This window comes from Homo sapiens, chromosome 9 (assembly GCF_000001405.40).
Source record: "Homo sapiens chromosome 9, GRCh38.p14 Primary Assembly".
NCBI classification, from domain to species: Eukaryota; Metazoa; Chordata; class Mammalia; order Primates; family Hominidae; genus Homo; species Homo sapiens.
In genome coordinates, this window is record NC_000009.12 from 134863964 (window position 1) to 134889793 (window position 25830).

Below are 25830 nucleotides of genomic sequence, written 5' to 3' on the forward strand. Positions count from 1 at the left end.
CTTTGCAGCACCGGCTTGGACGGGAGCCTGATCCAGTGCCAGCGTGCCACCCCTTGGCAAGGCTCCTGGTCCGCTCACACCACTTTTCGCCAGCCAATGTCCTCTAGGGTTGCAACCAACTCCCTGCATGCTGGCCCAGGGAGGTTCCTGGTAATCATCCTGCTTCCCTCTCCCTCCCCTGGGAACCACTCAGACCGCAGTGGACGTTCCTAAACTTCTGTGGACTCACGGCAGATTCTCTGCAAGAGATTTCCTCAAGGGCTGGATTCCACAAGCCCTTCTGTCCTGCTGCGGGCCTCAGGCAGTGTTCCCGCCAAGCTTTCCCTAAAGACACAAACAGGCAGGCCCTTCCCACACGGGCCTCAGGGAGCCTTCTGCTGGGCAGAGCGTCCCTGCCAGGGGAAGCCAGGCTCGTTAAGTGGGAAGCCTGTGGGGCCTGCGGAAGACAGCGGCCCTGAGGCTGTCTCCACCGCCAGTTGGTGCCACCAAGCCTTCGGGAGGGAGTGGCCATCCCCACTGGGGTTGGGAAATGGAGAGAGAGGTTACAGTGGGTGGCTGCAGCCCTGTAAGAACCACGGAGTTCCTTCAGTGGCAAAGACCAGAGCCCCAGGGCTGAGCCGAGCTGCCGTAGCCATGGGACCTGCTCTCCTGGCCCTCTCCTTCCTGTGGACCATGGCCTTGACTGAAGACACCTGTCCAGGTGAGTCAGCCCCCCGGTGGGTAGAACCTTAGAGCGATCACACTCCGGGAAGCTGACAGCGGCCACCTGCTGACCACTCACAGCACGCCAGGCCCGGTACTATGCCCTTTGTGAAGGTTCCTGCCTCATTTTCTCAACAGATTGTTTTAAGCCTCACCCTTTAAAGACCAGACAGAGGCTCAAAGAAACAGATGCAGCCTAACACGGGGGTTAGGAACAGGGCCCTGGGGCCAAACGGGCCAGGTCCCAAATTCAGAGCATGCAGCAGGGCCGTCTCCCCGGGGCCGAATCCTCCTCCGCAGAAGGGCCGTCGTGAGAGTCCCACCAGCTGTGTGAGGAGGCAGTGGGCGTACAGGGCGCTGGCGGGCAGTGGGCCTAGTCAGAGCCTGTGCCACGATCAATGTCACTGGAAGACCACCCAGCTGGACGTGGCCAGCAAAGTCAAGTCCCAGCTCTGCAGGGAATTTGGCCTGGGATGTGCCTGGCACTGGGACAGGTGGTCCCCACTGTGTCCCTGATGTAGCCCAGTGAGGTCGATGTGGCACCTAGGCTCCAGATCTTCCCTGGGCTTCTGGGGGCACTCAGGTGATTCCCAGCAGCTCCACCTTCTGGGGGAGGCTCTGGCCCCCCTGCATTGCAGCCATGCTGGAGTACGTTGCTCTGAACTCAGAACCAGGGATGGCTTCCAAAAACCCTAGTAGGCGCCATGGTCTGAGCCTGCTCGTGGTGGACCAGGGGCCAGGGTAATGGTGGGTCCCATGGAGAAAGGCCCCGAGTGGGGCTAGGAAGAAAACACACACTACAGAGGCCCTTTCACTGGTTATGTTATGGGTGAGTTAACTTTTTCCCCCAAACATGTCTTATTTTCTAGATTATCCTACATTATTAAGTATTCATTGTTTAATGAGAAAAATTAAGCAAATAAAAAAAGTGGTCTACACTTGTTCTGACCAGTGAGCCAGGGGTGAGGACAGATAAAAAAAAAATCCACCAAGCAGTGGCAGCTGCCATGTCTCTGGTGAGAGCACCGCTCTGGTCCATGGTCTCTTAGAGCACCCTTAGCAGGGCATATTGATTTCATAATCAACAAAATGAAAAATATTTTTTCAAAGCAACTTCAGCAAAGTCTCAGGATACAAAATCAATGTGCAAAAATCACAAGCATTCTTATACACCAACAACAGACAAACAGAGAGCCAAATCATGAGTGAACTCCCATTCACAATTGCTTCAAAGAGAATAAAATACCTAGGAATCCAACTTACAAGGGATGTGAAGGACCTCTTCGAGGAGAACTACAAACCACTGCTCAAGGAAATAAAAGAGGATACAAACAAATGGAAGAACATTCCATGCTCATGGGTAGGAAGAATCAATATTGTGAAAATGGCCATACTGCCCAAGGTAATTTACAGATTCAATGCCATCCCCATAAAGCTACCAATGACTTTCTTCACAGAATTGGAAAAAACTACTTTAAAGTTCATATGGAACCAAAAAAGAGCCCACATCGCCAAGGCAATCCTAAGCCAAAAGAACAAAGCTGGAGGCATCACACTACCTGACTTCAAACTATACTACAAGGCTACAGTAACCAAAACAGCATGGTACTGGTACCAAAACAGAGATATAGATCAATGGAACAGAACAGAGCCCTCAGAAATAACGCCGCATATCTACAACTATCTGATCTTTGACAAACCTGAGAAAAACAAGCAATGGGGAAAGGATTCCCTATTTAATAAATGGTGCTGGGAAAACTGGCTAGCCATATGTAGAAAGCTGAAACTGGAACCCTTCCTTACACCTTATACAAAAATCAATTCAAGATGGATTAAAGACTTAAATGTTAGACCTAAAACCATAAAAACCCTAGAAGAAAACCTAGGCATTACCATTCAGGACATAGGCATGGGCAAGGACTTCATGTCCAAAACACCAAAAACAATGGCAACAAAAGCCAAAATTGACAAATGGGATCTAATTAAACTAAAGAGCTTCTGCACAGCAAAAGAAACTACCATCAGAGTGAACAGGCAACCTACAAAATGGGAGAAAATTTTTGCAACCTACTCATCTGACAAAGGGCTAATATCCAGAATCTACAATGAACTCAAACAAATTTACAAGAAAAAAACAAACAACCCCATCAAAAAGTGGGCAAAGGACATGAACAGACACTTCTCAAAAGAAGACATTTATGCAGCCAAAAAACACATGAAAAAATGCTCATCATGACTGGCCATCAGAGAAATGCAAATCAAAACCACAATGAGATACCATCTCACACCAGTTAGAATGGCAATCATTAAAAAGTCAGGAAACAACAGGTGCTGGAGAGGATGTGGAGAAATAGGAACACTTTTACACTGTTGGTGGGACTGTAAACTAGTTCAACCATTGTGGAAGTCAGTGTGGTGATTCCTCAGGGATCTAGAACTAGAAATACCATTTGACCCAGCCATCCCATTACTGGGTATATACCCAAAGGACTATAAATCATGCTGCTATAAAGACACATGCACACGTATGTTTATTGCGGCATTATTCACAATAGCAAAGACTTGGAACCAACCCAAATGTCCAACAATGATAGACTGGATTAAGAAAATGTGGCACATATACACCATGGAATACTATGCAGCCATAAAAAATGATGAGTTCACAACCTTTGTAGGGACATGGATGAAATTGGAAATCATCATTCTCAGTAAACTATCACAAGAACAAAAAACCAAACACCGCATATTCTCACTCATAGGTGGGAATTGAACAATGAGATCACATGGACACAGGAAGGGGAACATCACATTCTGGGGACTGTGGTGGGGTGGGGGGAGGGGGGAGGGATAGCATTGGGAGATATACCTAATGCTAGATGACGAGTTAGTGGGTGCAGCACACCAGCATGGCACATGTATACATATGTAACTAACCTGCACATTGTACCCATGTACCCTAAAACTTAAACTATAATAAAAAAAAAATTGGGGATACTTTAAAAAAAAAAAAAAAAGAAGTAAACAACCTTGGTTTGGCTGCAGCTGTGCCACACCTGGCTCTGTGTCCTTGGACCCCACACTGCCCCTCTCCAGAGGACCTAGAAAGCCCCTTCCAGCCCCGTAATTCTACAACCACATTCCCAAGGTCTGGGAGGGAAAATGCTTTGTCAGCCCCAATTCCCCAAGTTTCTTAGAAATATTGGTGGTCATTAGTTATTGAAAGTGCCCACTGTTTATTAAGCTCTTTCTAAATGCCATAAATTACAATAAGAGATTTAAAATGCACATTCTCTAATCCAACCCTGGCCACAACCTTGTTACTATCCCCACTTGGCAGCCCAGAGCACAAAGCTCAGAGGAGTTAAGTGATCTGCCACAGGACACACAGCACTGAGGACATGGGCCTCCCCTAGATCGGGGTGGCCTCCAACGCCAGGTCTCTGCCCCTCATCACCTCTCCGCCTCACCAGTGCCCGAGGGGTGAGGACAGACCAAGGACCCAGCGGAGCAGATCCAGGCTCCCTGGAACTTCATGGAGAATGCCCTATTTTTCCCTCTGAGCAGGTGATTCTGACACACCACAACAACTACCCCTTCTCCACCGAAGACCAAGACAACGACCGAGATGCTGAAAACTGTGCCGTGCACTATCAGGGAGCCTGGTGGTATGCCAGCTGTCACCTGTCACACCTGAATGGTGTCTACCTCGGGGGGGCCCGTGACAGCTTTACAAACGGCATCAACTGGAAGTCGGGGAAAGGGAACAACTACAGCTACAAGGTGTCGGAGATGAAGGTGCGGCCCACCTAGCCCGGCGCTGAGGTCAGAGGTTCTCTCCACACACCCTGGCTGGAGGAGCGCATCCCTCAGCCCTCACCAAGAGGGCAATGTGGGGATCATGGCCCCCATCCTCATGGGAAGAGGGAGCTCCCACCAGTCCCTTATAGGCATGGCCCGCAGAGCTTTGCACCCAGTGCCAGCATCCAGCCCCCTGCCTCCCATCTGCAAGGCTAGGCGAAGCCCCAGCGTGCCTCCCTCACCGCAGCCATCAGTGCTTGCTTGCCTCACAGACAATGGTGGGATGCCATGGCCGTTTGCCCTGCCCTGACCAGTGACCACACCACTGTGCTGCTCATCCGTCCTTGCTTCCCTGTGATTTGGCCCTATGGGTGGATCAGATGCCCTAGGGCTGAGGGAGTTCCCCACTGGCTAAGACAAAGCAGGGCCACCGTGCCTGTTTGTGAATAAAGTTTTATCGGCACAGCCATGCCCATGGCTTCCATATTGTCTCTGGTTGGTTTCTATCATCCCCGGAAGCTTCCAAGTGCCAGGCAGAATAGAGTAGTTGGGACGGAGACCGTATGACTCGCAACTCCTAAATTGTGTATTAATCAGTCCTTTACAGAGAGTGTTCGCCGACCTCTGCACTCAGAGCCACCTGACCCCGGCCGCCTGGCCCCTGCTCTGCCCACTCGGCCCCCGTGCCGGGGCTTCCTGCCACCTGCCTCCTAGGGTCCCTTGGGACTCATGCATGAGAGCCTCACACGTTGTACCAAAGGTGACTGTGTGCACGTGAATCCCTCATCAAGAACAAAGCAAAGATTTGAAGGGGGCGAGTGGGTGAGAAGGATCTGGGCCCATGGGAGAGGGAAAGGTCCTCCTCCCTCAAGCGCTTCCTCTTGGAATTAGCCAGAAAGCTGAGCCCACAAAACCGTGGGTTGCATAAGGCCTGACAACACCTGTTTTCCTTCTGATCAGCCAAGTAGGCCCTCTCCTGGGACCAGCTGCCCTGAGCCCAGACCCCGCAGAGGGTGGAGGGTTCTCCCCAGCCTCGGTCTCTCTCCCGGAGAGGGCTCAGACCCCCGCAGGCTCCCTTCCCCGCCTCTGGAAATCAGGGCCCTCCCTAGGCCTCTGGCTTTGCTTTTGCTTCTGTTAGTCTCTCCGAGGCTTCCTTCTGCCTTTTCTCTGCTCGACTCAACTCTCCAGGTGGAAATGCTGGCAGGCCCAGTGCGGCTGCTTCACAGATGACTCTTCTCAACCTGTGACCTGCAGGGACCCATAAGCCTCTAGCAGAGGCCTCCGAGGGGCTGAGGCTCACAGGAGAGGGTGTGGGGAGCATGGAGGAGCCTTGGCTCCTGCCCTCAGGTGCTCCTGATGCAGGTGAGGGCTACGTGATCACAGAACAGGCCCCTCAGGTGGGCGCTGCACTGTTCCCGAGCTCCCACTGTCTGCAAGCACCCATAGCCAGCATAAGGGGGACAGATGGCTGCAGGAGGGGGGGGCCCACAAATTCCTGTTGTTAGGGGGCTTCATTCACATGGGGTGGGTTTGCCCCAGGCCTGAGAGGATGAATCGGATCCGACTCTGGTGGTCCTCCTGTCCACTCTCAGACTCCGTGGACAGCCCCTGGGCTAGGCAGGGTTCCTCTGCCCAAGGGGCAGCCTGGCCTGAAGGAGTTAATGTGGAGGTGGCTGGTGGCACCTGGCAAACCCCCCTCTGTGGGACACTGGATGCCGGTTTCCCCGAGTTCTGCTGGCTGCAGCTTCATGTGGGAGACAGCAGCCCCCAGGCCATTGCCCCCCGAGGCAGCAGGTCTCGCAGCCCCACGGTTCCGACTCCGCTGCCTGGAGCCTGGCCCACCCGGCCTAGTGTGGGTGCAGAGGTCCGTGGGCTCACTGGGAGGGCCGAGTGTAGACCTGGGCATGGCAAGGGCCAGGGGGTGCCCAGAAGTTCCCAGCCCCAGCCTTCACCCCCAGGGTGACGCCTGCCACTCCCTGCACCTTCACCACCTGGCCTCTGAGTTCAGCTGTGCCCCTCGGGGGGCCAAGCCCATGTTACCTCAGTGGAGGGAGGCCGTGCCTGAGTGGCAGCAATAAGTGCCCTCGGGGGGTGCCCTGGGTGCCTCCTGTACTGAGCCCCAAGCAGCCACGGTGAGCAAAGGAGACCCTGCCCTGAGCACAGAGCCCGGCCCTGCGGGGGGACAGCCAGCCCACCACTGACCGCACAGCCACTCCACTGTGATGAAGGAAGGGGGACACGGAGAGCACAGTATAAGCCCCCAGACTCTGAGTCGTCAGATGCTCCCAGGGGAGGGGAGATGACACTGAGCCCCAGAAGAGGGAGAGGTTTTAGGACGAAGGTGGGGTGGGAGGGAGGTGGGAGGGAAGCTGGCAGAAGGCAGCTTGTGCACTCAGAGCCTCCTCCCTTAAGCGGGTCAGAATCCTCACTGCACAGGTCTCCCCCAACACCAGCACTGGGCTCGGCGGTGCCCTCTCTCCATTCTCCACCCAGAGGCGCTGCCCTCTGACCCCAGAGTCAGGCGACCTCGTTGCCAGCACGGCCGACATGGTACAGCCCCTCAGGTTTTGGTTTCCTTGCCCAAAGTGTCTTTTGTTTTCTAATATGCCTTGTACTTATTGATTGATTGGTTGATTGAGCGCTACGAAAGCCCCTGAGTGGGCAGGCCTGGGTTTTATTACTGTTACCACTCTTCTACAATTTACTCAACGTGTGATCCCAATCAGGCAGGGCAATATTCCAGGATCGGCGCTGAGGACTGGTGGAATGAATTGTCTCTGCCATGGATTCCCGCGGCTTGGCCACTGAGTGTGGTTTTCGGGGCCTGTGGTTTCTGGGATCTGTGACTGCATCCTGGTCTGGGGGCCACTGTTTGGGCTGTCCCTGTGTCCTCCTTCTCGACAGTTGGATGGGGGGCTCATGCCTGGCATCTCGCGGGTCCCACCTGTCAGGTCATATCATCATCCTGACCAGGAAAAGGGCAGGAAGTGGAGAGGAGCGGGGCTGGGCTGTGCCGCCGCTGCGTGCTCACTCCCCTGTGACCGCACGCTGAGCCCACACCTAGTCCTCTGTTCTTCACCCCTCTCTGGCTCTGGGGCCCCAGACCCTTCGGGACCAGGGAGCTGTGTAGAGTGGGCACTGGGCTCCCTGCCCGGCCCCTGCCGAGCTCCTTCTAGGACCCGGTGCTGAGAGGGAGGATGTGGGTCTGTGGGGAGGTGGACTGGGATGGGCAGGAGTCCTGGCTGCCCCTTACCCGAGAGGAAAGAGCCATCGGAAAGCTTATGCTCTGGGTCCCACAGGATTTTCTTTTCTAAGAGCCTAGAGGGGTGTACTTGACATTGAATAAGCTACATGGCTTTGAAGTGCACAACTTGAGTAGTTTGACAGAGGATGCACCCGTGAAACCAGCACCACAATTGAGACAAGGAACAGATCTGTCACCCCCAGAAGCTTCCTCGTTGCAATCCCACCCACCCCCACCCGGCCCCACTTATCGTGTCCCCAGGCAACATCTGTGCTTTTCTCTGTCACTATAGCTTATTTTCCTAAGATTTTTTACGAGTGAAATCACATCCTATCCACTCTCTGCTGCCTGTCTTCCTCCCCCCGGCAGACCTATTTTAAGGGTCATGATGTTGTACTGTGCACAGCAGTTTGTTTCCTTTCACTGTAGTCATACTCCGTGTGTGGATGGACCACAGCTGTGTATCCATTCAGCGGAGTCGTACCCCGTGTGTGGATGGACCACAGCTGTGTATCCATTCAGCGGAGTCGTACCCCGTGGATGGATGGACCACAGCTGTGTATCCGATCAGCAGAGTCATACTCTGTGTGTGGATAGACCACAGCTATGTATCCATTCAGGTGTTGATGGACATTTAGGTTGCTTCCAGGTGGGGCCATGACAAACCAGGCTGCTATGAATCTCTGTGCACAGGTCTTTGTGTAGATATATGGTTTCATTTCTCTCGGGTTAATATCCAGGCTTGGAAATGGCTGGATTGTACGATAGGTGTATTAGCCCGTTCTCACACTGCTCGTAAAGATTGGGTAATTTATAAAGGAAAGAGGTTTAATGGACTCACAGTTCCACGTGGCTGGGGAGGCCTCACCATCATCGCAGAAGGCAAAGGAGGAACAAAGTCACGTCTCGCCGGGCAGCAGACAAGAGAGAGCGTGGTGCGGGGGAACTCCCCTTTATAAAACCATCAGATCTCGTGAGACTTGTTCACCATCACGAGAACAGCACGAGAAGACCCGCCCTCGTGATTCAGTTACCTCCTACCGGGTCCCTCCCATGACACATGGGAATTATGGGAGCTACAATGTGAGATTTGGGTGGGGACACAGCCAAACCATATCAGTGGGTATGTTTTTAACTTTTTCCAAATTGCAAAGCAGTTTTCCAAAAAGGCTGCACCGCTTAATCCAGCAGTGCAAGAGAAGCGGGTCCTCCACATCCTTGTCAGCACTGGGTACCGTCAGTCCTCTTAGGTTGAACCAATTTCACAGGGGTGTGGTGACGTCTCATCACGTTTTGTTCCCGTTTTCCTTATGACTGATGACGTTGAGCATCTTTTCATGGGCTTATTTGCTATATCCGCACATCTTCTTCAGTGAAGCATCCTTTCACATTGTGTGCCTGTTTTTTTTTAATTGGAGGGTTAGTTTTTTTTTTTACTGAGTTTGAAGAGTTATCTCTGTGTTCCGAGTACCACCCCTTTATCAAATGTATGTGATGCATGAGAGCCTATTGCTGCTGTAAGATAATTACCACAAACTTAGAGGCTTACAATCACACAAAATTATTATTTTACAGTTGTGGAAGTCAGAAGCCTAAAATCAAGTTGTTGATAGGGCTGGGTTCCTTCTGGAGGCTTCTGGGGAGAATCTGCTTCGTTGTCTTTTCCAGCTTTTAGAGGCTGCTGCGTAACAACTCATGGCCCCTCCCTTCATCTGCAAAGAGTATGTCTCCAATCTTGGCTTCTGTCCTCATTGCCTCCTTTTCCTCCCTGACCCTAACTCTACTGCTCCCCATTTAGAAGGACCCTTGGGATTACACCAGGCCCACTCAGAGAGGCCAGGATCATCTCCCCGTGTCACGACCCTTCATCTCATTTGCATTTTGCCATGTACGGTTGATGGCCTTGGGGGCCATTCTTCAGCCTACAACATATGATTTGCAAATATATTCTCTGAGTCTGTGGCTAGGAAGAGTCGACGATGTTAAGCTGCCTATTCTCCTGACATTGATCTGCAGATGCAATGCAGTCTAAATGAAAATCCCAGCAGCCCTGGGTACAAATCAGCTTCAATTTGTAATAAAACAGAGCTGCTGGGATTTTCATTTGAACTGTGGCTTTCTTTTTATTCCCTTAACACAGTCTTTTAAATGGCAGAACTTTTTTTTTGTTTGTTTGTTTGTTTTGTTTTTTGTTTTTTTTTGTTTTTGTTTTTTGTTTTTTGATATAGGATCTTGCTCTGTCACCCAGGGTGGAGTGCTGTGGCCCAATCTTAGCTCACTGCAACCTCCACCTCCCGGGTTCAAGTGATGCTCATGCCTCAGCTTCCTAAGTAGTTGGCAGTAGTTACAGGTGTGTGCCACCACACGCGGCTAATTTTTTGTATTTTAAATAGAGACAGGGTTTCACCGTGTTGGCCAGGCTGGTCTCAAACTCTTGGCCTCAAGTGATTTGCCCAGCTTGGCCTCCCAAAGTCCTGGGAGTACAGTTAGGAGCCACTGTGCCCAGCCCAAACAACAGAATATTTTAATTTTGATACAATCCGTTAATCAATATTTTGCTTTTGGAGATTATGCTTTTAGTATCCTATCCAAGAAATCATTGCCTAATTCCAATGTTTTCTTCTGGAAGTTTTATACTTTTCTATTTCCCACTGAGAGCTATGATCTATTTCAAATTCATTTTTCTATATAGTGTGAGGTAGGGACCAATGTTCTTTTTGTTACATATTCAATTAGTCCAGCACCACTTAATGAAAAGTCTAGCTTTTCTCCACTACATTTCCTTTGTGCTTTTATCAAATATCAATTTCCACATCCACGTAGGTCTATTTCTAAAATCTCTATTCTGTGTCATTGTTCTATTTGTCTGCTTTTACATCCAAACAACCATTTTCTTGATAGTGATGCTTTATAATAATTCTTGAAATTAGATAGTATTGACCTCCCAAATTTGTTTTTTTTAAAAGATGTTTTGGTATTCTACATCCTGTGTTTTTCCATATAAATTTTAGAATCAACTTCAATTTGCATTAAAAAGCTGCTGGGATTTTTGTTTGGCCTGTGTTGCATCTGCAGATCAATTTGGGGAGAATAGGCAGCTTAACATTATTGAATATTCCTATCCATGAACTAGGTATAATCTCTCATTTACTTAGATCTTTAATTTTGTCCAACAATATCTTGTAGTTTTCTGAATAGGTCTTAAACATATTTGATTGGATTTATCCATAAGTATTTTATATTTTCAATGCTATGGTAAATGGTGTTTTAATTTATTTCTAATTATTCATTGGTGATTTGAAAAAAACAACGGATTTTATATATTGAAGTTATATACTACAACCTTGCTAAACTCACTTTGTAGTTCTAGCAGATTTTTCAGATTTGATCAGATTTTCTACAGAATCATGTCATGTGTTAAATAAAAAAAGACAGTTTACTTCTTCCTTTCCTAATATGCATGACTTCTTTTTCTTGCCAGTGACACTGACTAGGACCTCTAGTACCTTGCTGAGTAGAAATGGTGGGAGTGGACACCTTCTCTTGCTCTTGGTTGTTCTAATTGCATTCATTCAGTCTTGTACCATTCAACGTGATGTGAACTGTGGGTTTTTTGTGGATGCCCTTGAGCAAGCTTCCTTCCGTGGTAGACAGGCCCCAGGGTGTTCCCCAGGATCCTTGCACCTCACTGCTCACAGCCATGTCTGGTCCCCACTGGTCCCCACCCCCCTTGAGTGTAGAGAGAATCTATGATTTGCTTCTAACCAAGAGTACAGCAAAGAGGAAGCTGTGTATGTGATTATGTGCACGTGACTATTGCATAAAATGGTAGCTCCCATCTTGCTGGTCTTGTTGCATTCTCTCACTCCCTTGTTGGTTTTGAAGAAGGAAGTGGCCATTTGGGGAACCCCATGGGACAGGAATTGTGGGTAGTCTTTAGGAATAAAGGGCATCTTCCAACCAAAAACCAGCAAGAAAATGTATCCCTCAATTCCTATTAATACAATGACAAGGGTTTGCAGTCTGCCCCTAAACTGAACCAGCTTAAAAACAGACCACTCCCCAGTTGAACCACGGATGAGACTATAGCCCTGTCTGATACCTCAATTGTTGCTTTTGAGACCTTAGCAGAGAACCCCAATAAACTGTGCATGGACTCCTGACCCACAAAAACTATAAGATAATAAACAGGTGCTATTTTAAGCTGCTAAGATGTGGTAATTTGTTACACAATGATAGAAAAGGAATACTTTTTATTCTTCATTTTTGGAGAGCCTTTTTCATCTGGAATGGATGAAAATGTTCAAATCTTTTTCTGTTTCTTTTGAGATGATAGTATATCATTTTTAATTTGGTAAGCTAGAGAATTACATTGATTTTTAAGAGGTAAACAAACATTCTATTCCTGGGCTAAACCTCACTTGCTCATGATACATTATTTTCATAGACAGGTTCAGTTTGCTAAAATTTTGCTTAAAATTGTGGTATCTATGTTCATGAGGGCTATCAGTCTATAGTTATTTTTTTCTTGCAATGATTTTTATCTACTTTTGCTATTGGGGAAATGCTGGCCTCATAGAATGAATGATAAAGTAGTTGTAACTTTCTGATTTTCAGAAGGAATGTGGGAAGAATTGCTATTATTTCTTCCTTAAATGTTTGGTAGATTTCATCAGTGACGCTGTCTGGGCCTGGAGATTTTTTTGCTGGGCTCTCTATTCTGTAGACTCTCTATTTCTTCATGGGCTCTCTTGTCTGTTCCATTGGTCTATATGTCTACCTTCACATCAGTACCACATTATCCTGATAAACTTCTTTATAATAAAAATAAAGGCTTAACTACAATTTCAATTTATTTTATATGTATAGTTTTGTTTTGTTTTGTTTTGAGGTGGAGTTTCCCTCTTGTCACCCAGGCTGGAGTGCAATGGCACGATCTTGGCTCACTGCAACCTCTGCCTCCTGGGTTCAAGCAATTCTCCTGCCTCAGCCTCCCGAGAAGCTGAGATTACAGGTGCCTACCACCACACCAGCTAATTTTTGTATTTTTAGTAGAGAAGGGGTTTTGCCACGTTGGCCAGGCTGGTCTCGAACTGACTTCAGGTGATCTACCCACCTCGACCTCCCAAAGTGCTGGGATTACAGGCGTAAGCCACCACGCCAGTTGTTTGACTTAGGTATTTCTTGAGTGACTTTGGTGGTTCAAAGAAATTGTCCATTTCATTTCCACTGTTGAATATGTTGGTGCTAAAGTGTCTTAATATCTCCTTATATTCCTCATAATATCTGTAGAATATGTAGTGAGGTCATTGATCTCTTCCTAATAGTGATATTTTGCATTCTCCCTCTTTTTTCTCTTTTCTTCAGTCTGACTAGAGGTTTATAAATTTGATTTACCTTCTCAAAGAATCAGCTTCAGGTTGTATTGATTTTCTGCACTTGTTCATTATTATTCATTCTCTTTTTTCTACTTTGGATTTAATTTACTCTTGTTTTTCTAGTTTCTTGAGACGGAAGCAGAGGCTGTTGACCTGAGACCTTTCTTCCTTTTTAGTGAACATTTCACACTGTAATTTGCCTCCCAAGGAGTGCTTTAGGAACACCATGCAAACTGTATTTTACTGCCTTTTTGTTTTCATTCAATTCAAAATTCTTTCTAATTTCTCCTTTGGCCTCTTCTATTTCCTATATCTTATTTAGAAGAATGTTATTTAGTATCCAAATATTTGGGAGGATTTTCTAGACACCTTTCTTTTCTTGATTTCTAATTAATTCCATTGTTGTCCGAGAACATACTTTGTATGGCTTGAATCTGTAGAAGGTTGTTATTTTAGTGGCCACGTTAGAATTTGTAGTAAATCTCTTCCATGATCACAGTTTACCTTCCGGCAACATGAAGCCACTGCTGTCTGCTACAAGAGTCTCATGGCCGTGTTCTCCATTTCTCTCCTCCTGGCCTTTGTGAGATGGTGGTCATGTTAGAGACCTCACAGATGGGATCCATGCCTGCCTGGTCTGTCTCCTGTGTACAGCATCACCTGTCCTAGAACAGCCGGCACCCTGAGGGTGGAGACCTGGGCTGAGGCACAGAGGTAGCTTGTGTGGGAGGGAAACTTCTGGAAGGGGGATGTGATGGTTAATACTGAGTGTCAACTTGATTGGATTGAAGGATGCTAAGTATTGATCCTGGGTGTTTCTGAGAGGATGCTGCCAAAGGAGATGAACATTTGAGTCAGTGGGCTGGGGAAGGCAGACCCACCCTCAGTCTGGTGGGCACCATCTCATCAGCTGTCAGTGAATAAAAAGCAGGCAGAAAAATGTGAAAAAGCGAGATGGGCCTAGCCTCCCAGCCTACATCTTTCTCCTGTGCTGGATCCTTCCTGCCCTCGAACATCAGACTCCGAGTTCTTCAGTTTTGAGACTCAGATTGGGTCTCCTTGCTCCTCAGCTTGCACACAGCCTATTGTGATCCTGTAAGTTAATACTTAATAAACTCCCCTTTATATATGCCTATCCTATTAGTTCTGTCCCTGATTAATACAGGGGGGTAGAAAAGGCCCTAGTTGGGACCCGAGGAACTAGGGCTGGAAGCCAGCTCAGCCATGAACTGGCCATGTGCCTTGCGGGAACTTCTGCCCTTCTCTGAGCCTCAGCCTCCTTGCCCGTAACAAGTGACGTGACCCCTGGAAGCACCCCTGACCAACATTTACACTGGTGCCTGTGAGGGCTTTGGTTTTTGTGTGTTATCATCTGTGGGCAATTTTGAGTTCACCAAAGACTTTTCAGGTCTTCCTTTGCTTTCTAAAACGAATTCAAATTTAATTATGTCCATTTATTAAAAATCTTACTTTAGGGCCTGGCGCGGTGGCTCACACCTGTAATCCCAACACTTAGGGAGGCCAAGGTGGGTGGATCACCTGAGGTCGGGAGTTCGAGACCAGCCTGACCAACATGGGGAAACCCCATCTCTACTAAAAATACAAAAAGTAGCCGGACATGGTAGTGCCTGCCTGTAATTCCAGCTACTCGGGAGGCTGAGGCAGGAGAATCGCTTGAACCCAGGAGGCGGAGGTTGTGGTGAGCCAAGATTGTGCCATTACACTCCAGCCCGGGCAACAAGAGCGAAACTCCGTCTCAAAAAAAAAAGTGTACTTTAAAAGCTGCATTCTGCCTTCATTTTAAAAGTGTGACTTATAAACCTTATTATTCTATCTTTTAATAACCACCTATAAGGAGCCTGTGAATAATTCTTGGTCCATTCCTTAACTTAGCCAACTAAACACCTTCAAACATTGTTACTGCATTTATACATTTAATAGAACCACATTTATCCTTTAGTACCTTGTCTAACTTTAAAAAATCCTTCTGAATATGAACTGCTAGAAATGTAATCATTTAAATTCAGCATGTGATAAACTCAGAGTTCCAATAAAGTGATTCAATAGTTTATATGAATTCGGTAAGTTTTCCGCATAAATGCACTCTGCCAAATCAATTACTCAATTGGCCATTTTCTGTTGAAGTTATCCTGCACCCACTCCAATAGGCCAGATTCTCTTGATTATTGCAAGTACTTTAAATAGCATATTTTTTTAGATTTCTGAACACTAAAATATTAATATAATGTCTTTGGGCTTTTAAAGCCTTCTAGACTTAATTTTAAGTCATCTAGGTTTGAAAGATGCTTCTATTAGGAAGGACAAATAGCATGCAGTAAAGGAACCTGCCTAAGGACTCGGAATTTTGGCTGCTGGGGTTTCACTGGGCAGCTCTGGGGACCTGGCTCCTCTGCAGGTGACTTCAGGACTTTGAGGAAGATGCCCCCAAGCCATCTTTCTAGGTTCCATATCTGCATCTCCATGGAGCCTGTGTCTTCCCCAGGTTCATCCCTGGACCTCATCTGCATCTGGCATAGCCTTAATTAAGTCTTGAGAGGTCTGCCCTAAACACCACGGAACCCGAGGGGGGTCTTAACTAGTCATAGTCTCAGGACCACACATCTCCATGGGCATTGAAGGAAAATCCGATGGGATTTTGTTTCTCGCGTGGCTTTGCTGGGCTGGGGTCACAGTTTAAAATCCTTCTACTGATCTTGCCAAGGAAGAAGGCACCTCGGCATCCCGATGGCAGCAGGTGGCAGGGTGCGGTGGTGGTAGTGGGAGGTGCAGTGCTGGTTCCGTCTCTGGGGGCTTTAGGTATACGGCCTCTGGGGCCCCACCTGCTACTGTCTCTGTCTCTAACCTGGCTCAGTCCAAGGCGAGAGTGCACCTTCAGGCCAGCTCTTCTCCAAAAGGCGAACACAACCACTGAAGTAAGTCCACAGCCATCCTACAGGTGGGATGTCTGGCCTCAGGGCTCAGGGGGTTCCCTGGGCCCTAGGAGTGAAATTCACCTACTCTCATCCTCCCTACAGGCTAAGCCCCTGCATTCACACTCAAGGTCTCCCCTTCAGATGTGTACCTGGGTCATAGTCCCCCAGGCTCCCCACTCTTCTCTCCTTTCCCTCCTGTTCATGTGCCCCTGTGCTCTACATACTGCCCCAGGAAACAGTGGACACACACGCATTTTCCTCTCCTTTTCACCCTGGCAGCCTGCCTGGACCTCATAGTGGCAGTTTCCAAGCCTCCTGAGGAGAGTCCCAAGTCTGCTCATGATGTGGTGAGGGTTACTGTGTAAGGCCCACACCAGTGGCCCATGACCAGCCCTGGCCATGAGGACTCTAGGTATTCGGATAAGGGAGAGAGACCTCTTTGAAGCAGAACATCTTTAGCAAACCCTTCCTTGTTCCCCGTTCTCAGCTCATGGTGACATCTGCTCACCGCTGAACAAAGGTGGGAGGATGGGCCTGGGCTCTTTGCCCAAGGCCACAAGCAAGTCAGCCTGTTCCCTGGAAGGAGACCGTCCCCCTGCAGGGATGACAGTCGCCATGGGATCCCCAAGGGGCGGGGGGTAGGGAGCAGCCCTGGAGATGATCTCGCACCTCCTGCTGGCGTCACCAAGCCCGCGGAGAGGAAGCGGCTGTCACTCGGAAGATGAGAAATTGGAGTCTGAGGGAGGCTGGCTTCTCTAGCCCTATAAGAGGGCAGGCACCTTTTGAAGCAAAGACCAGAAGAGATGGAGCTGGACAGAGCTGTGGGGGTCCTGGGCGCTGCCACCCTGCTGCTCTCTTTCCTGGGCATGGCCTGGGCTCTCCAGGCGGCAGACACCTGTCCAGGTAAGGGCACTCCAGGGCCTCCTCCTGGAAACTTCTCGTCCCTGAAAGCTGGCAGCTTCGTGATTGGTGGCTTCCTGGCTTCCAGGCCTTGCACCAGGCCGTGTGGAGCATCGTCTAACGAGACAGCAGCTCTGCATGCCTCATCTTATGTGAACAAACGCAGAGGCCCCGAATGGATGTGGCATCTCAGAGACGGAGCTTCCTCTGCTTGCCCTCCCATAATGGAAACCGAGGCAGGTTTCCAGTCTCCCTGGGCCACATGTCCCCCTCTAAGCGTAAAAAGCGTAGTCATGGTGTTGTGTGGGGAGGTGAGGCTTGTGGTGCCAGCTGGGTAGACACCAGTCAGATATTCTGCCATGGTCGCCATCACAGAGAGACAGGGTGTGAGGTGGGGATAAGCACCCGGAAAGACAGGGTGTCAGGCGGGGATGAGCACTGCAGGACCTTTCCATCCAGGACCTGCTGGGCTCTGGAGATGGCAGTTCCCATGGTGTCCCTGATGCGGCACAATAAGGGTGGCATTGTCCCCGTGAGTTCTGGACCTCCTTCGGGGCTCCCGAGGGGACACTCGGGTGCCAAACCATGGGCTCCGGCGCATGCGAGGGCAGGTTGAAAATGCAGGTTCTGGAGTCAGGTCCTGACTCCGTCTACCCGGGGCTGGGATGCAGGGTCAGGAATTTGTGATGCTCCTGATGCTTGCAGAGATTCGTGTCAGGATTTCTGGAATGCATGTGAGACACAGAGCTCTGCGGTGTGCTGTGACTAGCATCGCATTCAAGGAGCAATCCGTGGCGTGAAGTGTGACACAGGCCAGGAACAGCGGGGATTCGCTTGGAAACTCCTAGTGGCTCGTTGTGGAGTGGTGGGGTTAGGGTGGCATTATTTTCTTCCTTAAATACTTCTAGAGTTTCTAAATGATCAAATAATAGCACGTGTTATTTTTGTAACACACTCACTTGAATTTGAGTTATCTAATTAAAAACAACAAGCTGCATTCCAGCTCTAGTTTCGCACCAACTTGTTCAGTGTCCTTGAAGGACGCCTCCCTCTGTGGAGGAACAAGGTGGACCCACAGGAGCCCATCCACTCTCAGATCTGCTCCAAGATCAGGCGTGGGAGTTGCAATGGTAGCCTCTCTCCCTGTGTCCTTCTCACCCGATATTGATTACAATGATATGATAGATGAGAACAGACGAGATTAGGATGCTGTCTTAAATGGTAGGAGCTGAAATGAACCTGCACCCCTCGGTAGGTAAGGGAACAGAGGCTCAGAGGGGTTAAGGGACTTGTTTCAGGACACACAGTACTGAGGAAGTAAGGTTTGCCTTCAGGCAGGGTAGCCTCCAAGGCCAGGGTTCTGCCCCAAATCACCTTTCTGCCTGACCAGTGCCCAAGAGGTGAGGACAGACCAAGTGCCCACCAGGGCAGGAAAACCTCCCTTCCAGGTGACCCTCCAGCTGAGGGAGGTGGCTGTGGCTATAGCCATCTGCCCAGTCCTGATGTCACCAAGATGGCAGATGCCTTTCAGTTGAGTGGTATATCTATGGCTCAGTGGAGTCTTCAGGCCCAGGTGACACTGAGTGGCCACCTGTGTTTTTCTGCAGAGGTGAAGATGGTGGGCCTGGAGGGCTCTGACAAGCTCACCATTCTCCGAGGCTGTCCGGGGCTGCCTGGGGCCCCTGGGCCCAAGGGAGAGGCAGGCACCAATGGAAAGAGAGGTAGGTGCAGGCATGGCTGGGGGCACTGGCTCTTGCTCTTTTTGAAACCAGATGCTGAGTTGGGCAACACCCCCACCATGGTTCCTAGATCGAGAGCTGGGTCAGGCCCCTGCAAGAGCCAGGAAAAGAACTGACTCCCAGGGCCCAACAGGGTTCTGACATGGAGGGAGCGTCTTTCTTAGCTATTTCATGAGCTCACATTTGGACATGCTTCTGTAGCTCTGTCTCCTAGTCCTTGATCCAATACCAGCTTTGCTCGGCCGCTGGCACGACTTCAAGCTCTGTGTCCCTCCACCTTCCCACCTCAACACGGAGGCCATGACACTCTTCTCCACCTGTCTCAGATGAGGAAACTGAGGCTCAGAGAGTCCAGGGATTTCGCTCTGTTCTCACACTTGGAAGGAAAAGAGCCGAGATTCTACCCATGGTCTCTGGATTTCCAGCTCCCGGCCCCTGAGTGAACAGGAGAGCCCCGTGAGGCCTGGGTCCTGGATCTAGAACCTTCTGGTGCAGGATGGGCAAGCCTGGGCGGGGCCACAGTCACGTCGTAGCACGAGCAGGGTCATGGTCATGATTGGAAATGACAGCCGCCAGCTCCAGGGTGGGCCCTTTGATCCTGGGCTGGGCAGTTTTCCTCAAGTCAGTGTCTTTGGAAATTGCAGGAGAACGTGGCCCCCCTGGACCTCCTGGGAAGGCAGGACCACCTGGGCCCAACGGTAAGGAGGGGACAAGAGTGAGAAGCGGCTTCAAGGCCCTTCCAGACCTGGCTGCAGAGGAACGTGAGGCGGGTCTTCTGGGGCTGCCACGCTGTCCTCGCCAGAGCCAACGCCTGCCCAGGCAGGGCTCTTGGGGCTTAGTCCAGGGCAGGGGTCTCAGTGTGGGGGAAGGGGTCTCAATGTGTGTGTGGGTTCTCAGTCTGGGGGAGTGGGGTTATCAGTGTGGGAGCTGGTCTCAATGTGTGTAGGGGGTCTCAGTTTGGGGGAGTGGGGTCATCAGTGTGGGGGCAGGGTTCTCAATGTCGGAGGAGGGGTTCTTGGTGGTGTAGGGAGAGGTTCTTGGGGTGTGTGTTGGGGGAGGGGTTCCCGGTGGGCAGGCTGTGGGGAGGTGTTATCAGCAGGGAGGGAGGAGCTGTCAATATGGGGGAGAGATTCTGGGATGGGGGAGAGGTTCTGATTATTCGGGGAGGGACTTTTAGTGTGGGGAGGGGTTCTTAGTGGGGGGGCTGTCTGTATGGGGGGGTTCTCAGGTAGGGGAAGGTTTTCAGTGCAGGAGCATCTGCCCTGTGGGTGGGCCTGAGACCAAATCCTGTCCCTCTAATGTGGAAGTGGTCTTGAGAGGGTGGGGGGGGATTGTCTGCCCACCTCTCTAAGCCTCACTCAGTCCTGGCCTCTGTCCCCTGAGCATGAGGCCCTGTCTTGTCCCCTCCTCCTGACTCTGCTTGAAAACCAGGATCAGCCCCGGATGGCTTGGAGAACCATGCCAACAAGTTCCAAACACAGAATTAGTGGAAATTCTCTGCTTTAAAACAAAGAATTTTCTGATATATTTTCTTGAGGAATAAATTTTGAGGAATCGGAGAAATACGCAGTAGGAAATTGAAGCTCCCTTTACTCACTCACCTTTACCCACAGACCTACTCAGAATAAGACCACCCTACACTCACCAAACCCCAGGCTCAGTCATGGGTTGTGTCTAAACATAAAATACGCAGGTTTGGTGCCCACACCGCAAACAACACTCCCCACATCATATTACTGTGTCCACCAAGATGGGCTGTTTGCAGGCCTTGGGGCCTCAGGAGAAGCCTGAAGATCCAGGCTTCCTTTAGTTGGCATGTGGAGGCCTCAGCAGTCTCTGGGATGGTGGCCTCTGCTTCCCCAGGAACCTCTGAAAGGGGTGCATGTGGTGGAGGGGCCAGTGTAGGCATCCCTCGAGGGAAAGAAAAATTTGGTCAACAGAACCAGGGTCAGGGACTCCTTGGCTGGACCCATACCATCACCTCCTGGGGAGGCCCAGAAAATGGTGTCCGCGGACCAATGGGGGCTGAAGGGCTCTGATTTCCAAACTGTGACACGTGTGTCCTCTCTCATCCATGAACAGGAGCACCTGGGGAGCCCCAGCCGTGCCTGACAGGTGACTGACCACCCCCACACTCCTCCCACGGCTTGTGGCTGCCCTTGGCTGGAAGTCCAGGGTCATACGACGCCATTGCCAGAATGAAGTGACAAATATGAACAGAAGAAAATGGTTGCTTGCCCGTTTCCTTGTCCCCTAATTATTCAAGGAAGTGACAAATATTGTCCAGACAACTTACATACACTCCATGGCAATTTTTTTCTATTTATAATCTACGCCAGAAGGCCGGGTGCCCAGGAGCTGAAGGTGGGGGTGACACTGGGAGGTGGGAGGGCCAGGCCAACTGGCTGCGGCCATCACAGCTGCGTGGCCCTGGGGGCCGTGTCCCTGTCCAGGCCTCAGAGTCCCGCTCTGTTCATACAGACGCCTATGGCCCTGCTTCTTCCTCCCAGGCCTCCCTCCTACTGCCTGTGCCCTGCCCAGGGCTCCTGTCCTGCAGCCATTCCCCGGGTTCCCTTCCCAGGCCCGCGTACCTGCAAGGACCTGCTAGACCGAGGGCACTTCCTGAGCGGCTGGCACACCATCTACCTGCCCGACTGCCGGCCCCTGACTGTGCTCTGTGACATGGACACGGACGGAGGGGGCTGGACCGTGAGTGTGGGGCTGGGCAGAGGCGGTCAGCCTGGGAGTCCCGGAGGCCAGGCTGCACACCTGGTGGGAGAACACACTCTGGAATTCTCTATTCTCCTGGTCGGGGACAGTCAGAGATGATGGGGGAGATGACCGGTGGGTAAAAGTCCAGGCCTTTGGGGGAGGCTGGGAGAGGTTGGGTGCTCTCCTGCTGTGTGGCTTGGGGCTTGTTGCCTCCCCTCTCTGAGCCCCCATTTCCTCCTTCATCCTGTGGAGTCTGTGAGGAGAACAGGTGGGCGTGCTGGTGACCCCGCCTGTGATGCTCTGCCAACTACAAATGCTGCTCCTCTGGAGGGCGGGTCCCCCGTGCTGTGGGACGTCGGCCTGGCCCCCCCGGCTCCTGTCCCCTGGCTTCTCCACAGGTTTTCCAGCGGAGGGTGGATGGCTCTGTGGACTTCTACCGGGACTGGGCCACGTACAAGCAGGGCTTCGGCAGTCGGCTGGGGGAGTTCTGGCTGGGGAATGACAACATCCACGCCCTGACCGCCCAGGGTAGGGCCGCTGCTGGGGCTTGGGGGTCGGGGGCCCTGAATGGGGGTGCCCCTGCCTCTTGGGCCTGGGCTGCCTGGAACACAAGAGCCTCTTGGCCCACAGGGGATTGGGCCCTGAGCACACTCAGGGTGGCACTGGGACCTCCGAGGGCTTCGTCCCTGCTGCAGGCTCTGGCAGCATCGGGACGGGAGAGGGTCAGAGCTCTGGGATGAAGGCCTCTTCAGGTCTTGGCCCCACTGGCATCTCAGGTCCTGAGAGGGGAAGGAGGGACACAGTGGCCCCATAGTGGAGTTTGGGCCCAACCCCAACTCTGCCTCTAATCCGCTAGGATTTGGGAGTCAAGAGTCTTGCCCTGCTGCTCAGCACACCCTGCCGGGTCAGAGCTACACAGGCCCCGGGGATGCTGCGGTGCTCTCCGCCCTCTGCCTCCATGGAGTCCAGACCTCCTTCCAGGCCCTGCCCCAGATCCCCAGCTCCCATGTCTAAAGGTAGAGAGCCCTTCCGCTGAGACCCTGAAACCTTTCTCTAACAGGAACCAGCGAGCTCCGTGTAGACCTGGTGGACTTTGAGGACAACTACCAGTTTGCTAAGTACAGATCATTCAAGGTGGCCGACGAGGCGGAGAAGTACAATCTGGTCCTGGGGGCCTTCGTGGAGGGCAGTGCGGGTGAGTGTCTGCTTGGGGCTGTGTGGCCTGGGCTTCTGAGGGGGGTTTGGGAAGTGGAGAGAGCGTGCTCAGTGTCCTGGTAGCCTTGTGGAAGAGGCCTCACCTCTCTGAGCCAATTCGTCCATCTCTACATGCAGACACTAACATCTGTGCTCTGTGTAGCATGGGGGTCATGGGACACATCAGTGTATGACTGCAGAAATCCCAGCAAGGGCATCTGGTAGGAAGGAAGTCTCTGCAGAGCAGGGACCTATGCACGGTGACAGCAGCTGATATCTCTGCGGGGCATGGCTGGAAGGGGTCTGCCATGATGGAATCCAGAGTAGAGAATGATGATCCTGACCCCTGCCTCCTGTTCTTCTGTGAAATAAACATAGTACACATTAGGTGGCAGGGCTAGACCTAAAGACAATTTGCCAAGACCACTGCCAACAGCAGGGCAGTATTCACTGGAGTCATGGATTGCACTTCTTGGATTGTGCAGTGCACAACCTGCCTAACCATACATGGAGGACACACCAGGCCAGGCCTCAGGTATAAAGACTTATACTGTCTGTAATGATGTTACTGCCTGTAACGATGCTCACATTTCCTCCTGCACAGGAGATTCCCTGACGTTCCACAACAACCAGTCCTTCTCCACCAAAGACCAGGACAATGATCTTAACACCGGAAATTGTGCTGTGATGTTTCAGGGAGCTTGGTGGTACAAAAACTGCCATGTGTCAAACCTGAATGGTCGCTACCTCAGGGGGACTCATGGCAGCTTTGCAAATGGCATCAACTGGAAGTCGGGGAAAGGATACAATTATAGCTACAAGGTGTCAGAGATGAAGGTGCGACCTGCCTAGCCCAGGCCGGCCTCAGGGTCAGGACGCCTCCACACATAGTTGGTTGGGGGGTAGGGTTGGGAGCTTGGCCCTACGGTTTGTAAAAGAAACACATGTCGTGATTCTAAATTGGGTTTGTCTTGCTGTGCGGAAGAGGTTCAAATCCAGCTCTGTTTCCGCAATCAACCCTTTCAGATTTGTGACATTAACTCACCTCAAACCTCTGTCTTTCCTTGACAATGAGTAAGAATGTGTTCCTGACCATGCCAGCAGGAACCTTCCTTAAGGACAAATACAAGACTTTGAAGCTGCGATGGGCTCAGAGTGCAGCCCTGCTCAGGTCCCTGGGCAGGCTAAACGCCTTCCTGGGGCTCGACCATCTGGGCTTCTCTGTGAGCTGGATGGCAGGGAAGTCAGAAGGCACATTGGAGAGGAAGTTTCTCTTGCACTCAGAGATGCCGTTGCCTGTCCAAGGCCCCCAGCCTCGTAGCCGCAGCTCTGCTCACTCTCCCCCGTCACCCAGGCTTCCTGCCGCCTGCTGTCCTGGGTATTCGTGGGATCTGCTCGCTACTTCCTCACAAGCCGAAGCAAGAGTGGCAGTGTGCCTGTGACTCCCTCATCAAAACGGAGAGAGTGGTTACATGAGGCAGGTGTGAGGGACCCGAGCACTCCTGAGGAGGGAAGAACACTCCTCTTGGCCATGAGTGTCCATCCCAAAGCTGCCCTGCAGCCTAGCCCAGTGCAGATTGAATCAGAAAGCCAAAGCCCCTTCCACCCGCTTCTCTCAGGCAAGCTGCCTGCAAGAGAGAAAAGTGTATTAGTGCAGGAGCTTGTGTCTGCTGAGGATGGCACCTGGCCCTCTCCTCTCACCACGTCCGGGTCCTCCTGAGGACCGGTCCCCTGTCCCCGGTCCCCAGCCAGCTCAGCCTGACCAGGCTTTTAGAGGCTCCGCACCCCAGCATCGGCCAGTGCTGACCCTTGTACGGCTGTTTGGGTCCCCGATCACTCTCATAACAGCCCTGCCCTTGTCCTATACCCTCTACTCAGAGAGGATCCAGAAGGGTCCAAGGAGGCCATGATCCCTCCCTGAGCTTTTTCACGCGGGCCCCCTCCTTCCCCTACGAGGGTCCGTCCTGGGTCTTAGCTGGTCTAAGCCCTACACAAGTCATGGAGAGGGCTGTGTGTCTGGGACTTCTCGGGGGAGAGTGCACTGTTTCCTCTGAGTTCCTGGAGGGGGTGCGCCATGAAGATCAGGACACAGCCATCTTCACCTTCCCTCCTCACTCTGGGTCCGAGGCCTGGGATGAGCCAGGACAGCGGGAAGCAGGGATGGCCCTGGGCGTGGCACTTCCTTCCTTCCTGGGCCCGCAGGAGGGGGCCACACCACCCACCCAGGGGGCTGACCCGTCCTCAGGACAGAAACTAGCAAGCTGTCAAACCTGAGGGTTTATAACTAAATGACGGGGTGCTGCCCCTGGAAATTACACCCAGACATCTCTTTTCTCGTAGACCTGGGTCCCTAGCTTTTAGACAGGATGACAAATCACTGACAGGTGCTGACTTTACATGCACTGTGGCCTCACGCTTCAGCCATTCACTGCCAGGCAGTCTTCTAGGGCAGCAAAGAGCTCAGCCACACAGCCCGGGCCACTGTCAGGATGAGACCTGGCGTCAGACCTCCTCTCAGCGCCGCTTACCCCCCATTCTGGGCATTTCAATCTCCAACAGGAGATTTAAATGAAGAAAACACGCACCTCACACAGCTGTAAAGGGAGGAACTGGGAATTTCTCCCAAATCTTGACCCTTGAGTTCTAGAAATGGGGTTCTCCCTGGAATGCATGATGGCATTATTCTGGAAGGCAAAAATAAAGCTATTTAATATAGAAATGTTTTTAGCCTGACAAGCCAGAGATTTTTAAAAATATTGTTTTTTTAAATTTTCTTAATTGAGAGATGAGCTAAAAAGTAACTTTTTCTAAATATTTAATGTAGCTTTGCTATACTTTATAAATACTGTCAAGCTTTGGGGGGGTTTGTTGGGATAAGAAAATGTACTTATAAAAATGCAGTCAGTATGTCAGGAGGCTGGCGTAATTAACACAGCACAGGGAGGTCATGGAGGCTTGTGTAATTAACCTAACATAACATAAATGTATTTGCATGACACGTGCATCGCATGTGCATACGTGTGTGTGTGTGTGCACCTGCGGGGCCTCTGGGAGGTGTAACTGAGGCAGGCATCGGAAGGGCTCTGTAGGACCAGCTGGTACTGGGTGGGCACCTGGGAGCCACAGGTGCCTGCTTCTCCCATCCCCTGAAAGACTTGGCTCCTTCAGGCCACCAGTGCTGCCTCAGGGTGTCTGGCTCCCCTCCAGAGCAGGGGGCTGAGCCAGGTTGG

The 25830-nt window shown here is 51.1% G+C and overlaps 1 protein-coding gene and 1 long non-coding RNA gene across 5 annotated transcripts in view, besides 4 other annotated features; one reads left to right on the forward strand and one right to left on the reverse strand.

Annotated features, from left to right (window-relative positions):
- The window catches only part of LOC101448202 (uncharacterized), a 53204-nt gene extending 44549 nt beyond the window's left edge, over positions 1–8655 (reverse strand). Inside the window, exon 1 of the long non-coding RNA NR_103451.2 lies at positions 8586–8655. This is a non-coding gene — a long non-coding RNA (uncharacterized LOC101448202). The remainder of the gene's footprint in view (positions 1–8585) is intronic.
- Positions 14–742: an enhancer, noted in NCBI's record as "H3K4me1 hESC enhancer chr9:137755823-137756551 (GRCh37/hg19 assembly coordinates)". NCBI's record gives its function as "activates a minimal SCP1, AML or CMV promoter by ChIP-STARR-seq in primed H9 embryonic stem cells {active_cell/tissue: H9 hESC(primed)}" and the evidence as "EXISTENCE:reporter gene assay evidence [ECO:0000049][PMID:30033119]".
- Positions 181–23560, forward strand: FCN2 (ficolin 2). 4 transcript variants are annotated; one of them, XM_011518392.4, is made up of 8 exons: positions 181–700; positions 18563–18676; positions 19339–19392; positions 20777–20809; positions 21276–21403; positions 21805–21934; positions 22467–22601; positions 23205–23560. In XM_011518392.4, the coding sequence occupies exons 1-8, from the start codon at positions 634–636 to the stop codon at positions 23450–23452; spliced, it is 909 nt and encodes a 302-aa protein (XP_011516694.1). In that variant the 5' UTR covers positions 181–633; the 3' UTR covers positions 23453–23560. The 4 variants fall into 4 exon arrangements, with proteins under 4 accessions (XP_011516694.1, XP_006717078.1, NP_004099.2 ...); NM_004108.3 differs by lacking the exon at positions 181–700 and adding an exon at positions 16847–16958; XM_006717015.5 differs by lacking the exon at positions 18563–18676 and having other exon boundaries at positions 182–700.
- Positions 743–1470: an enhancer, noted in NCBI's record as "H3K4me1 hESC enhancer chr9:137756552-137757279 (GRCh37/hg19 assembly coordinates)". NCBI's record gives its function as "activates a minimal SCP1, AML or CMV promoter by ChIP-STARR-seq in primed H9 embryonic stem cells {active_cell/tissue: H9 hESC(primed)}" and the evidence as "EXISTENCE:reporter gene assay evidence [ECO:0000049][PMID:30033119]".
- Positions 8525–8698: a silencer, noted in NCBI's record as "fragment chr9:137764334-137764507 (GRCh37/hg19 assembly coordinates)". NCBI's record gives its function as "represses an EF-1alpha promoter that drives an FKBP-Casp9 reporter gene in an ReSE screen in HepG2 liver carcinoma cells {active_cell/tissue: HepG2}" and the evidence as "EXISTENCE:reporter gene assay evidence [ECO:0000049][PMID:32094911]".
- Positions 8806–9006: a silencer, noted in NCBI's record as "peak7344 fragment used in MPRA reporter construct". NCBI's record gives its function as "represses an SCP1 promoter by STARR-seq MPRAs in K562 erythroleukemia cells {active_cell/tissue: K562}" and the evidence as "EXISTENCE:reporter gene assay evidence [ECO:0000049][PMID:32103011]".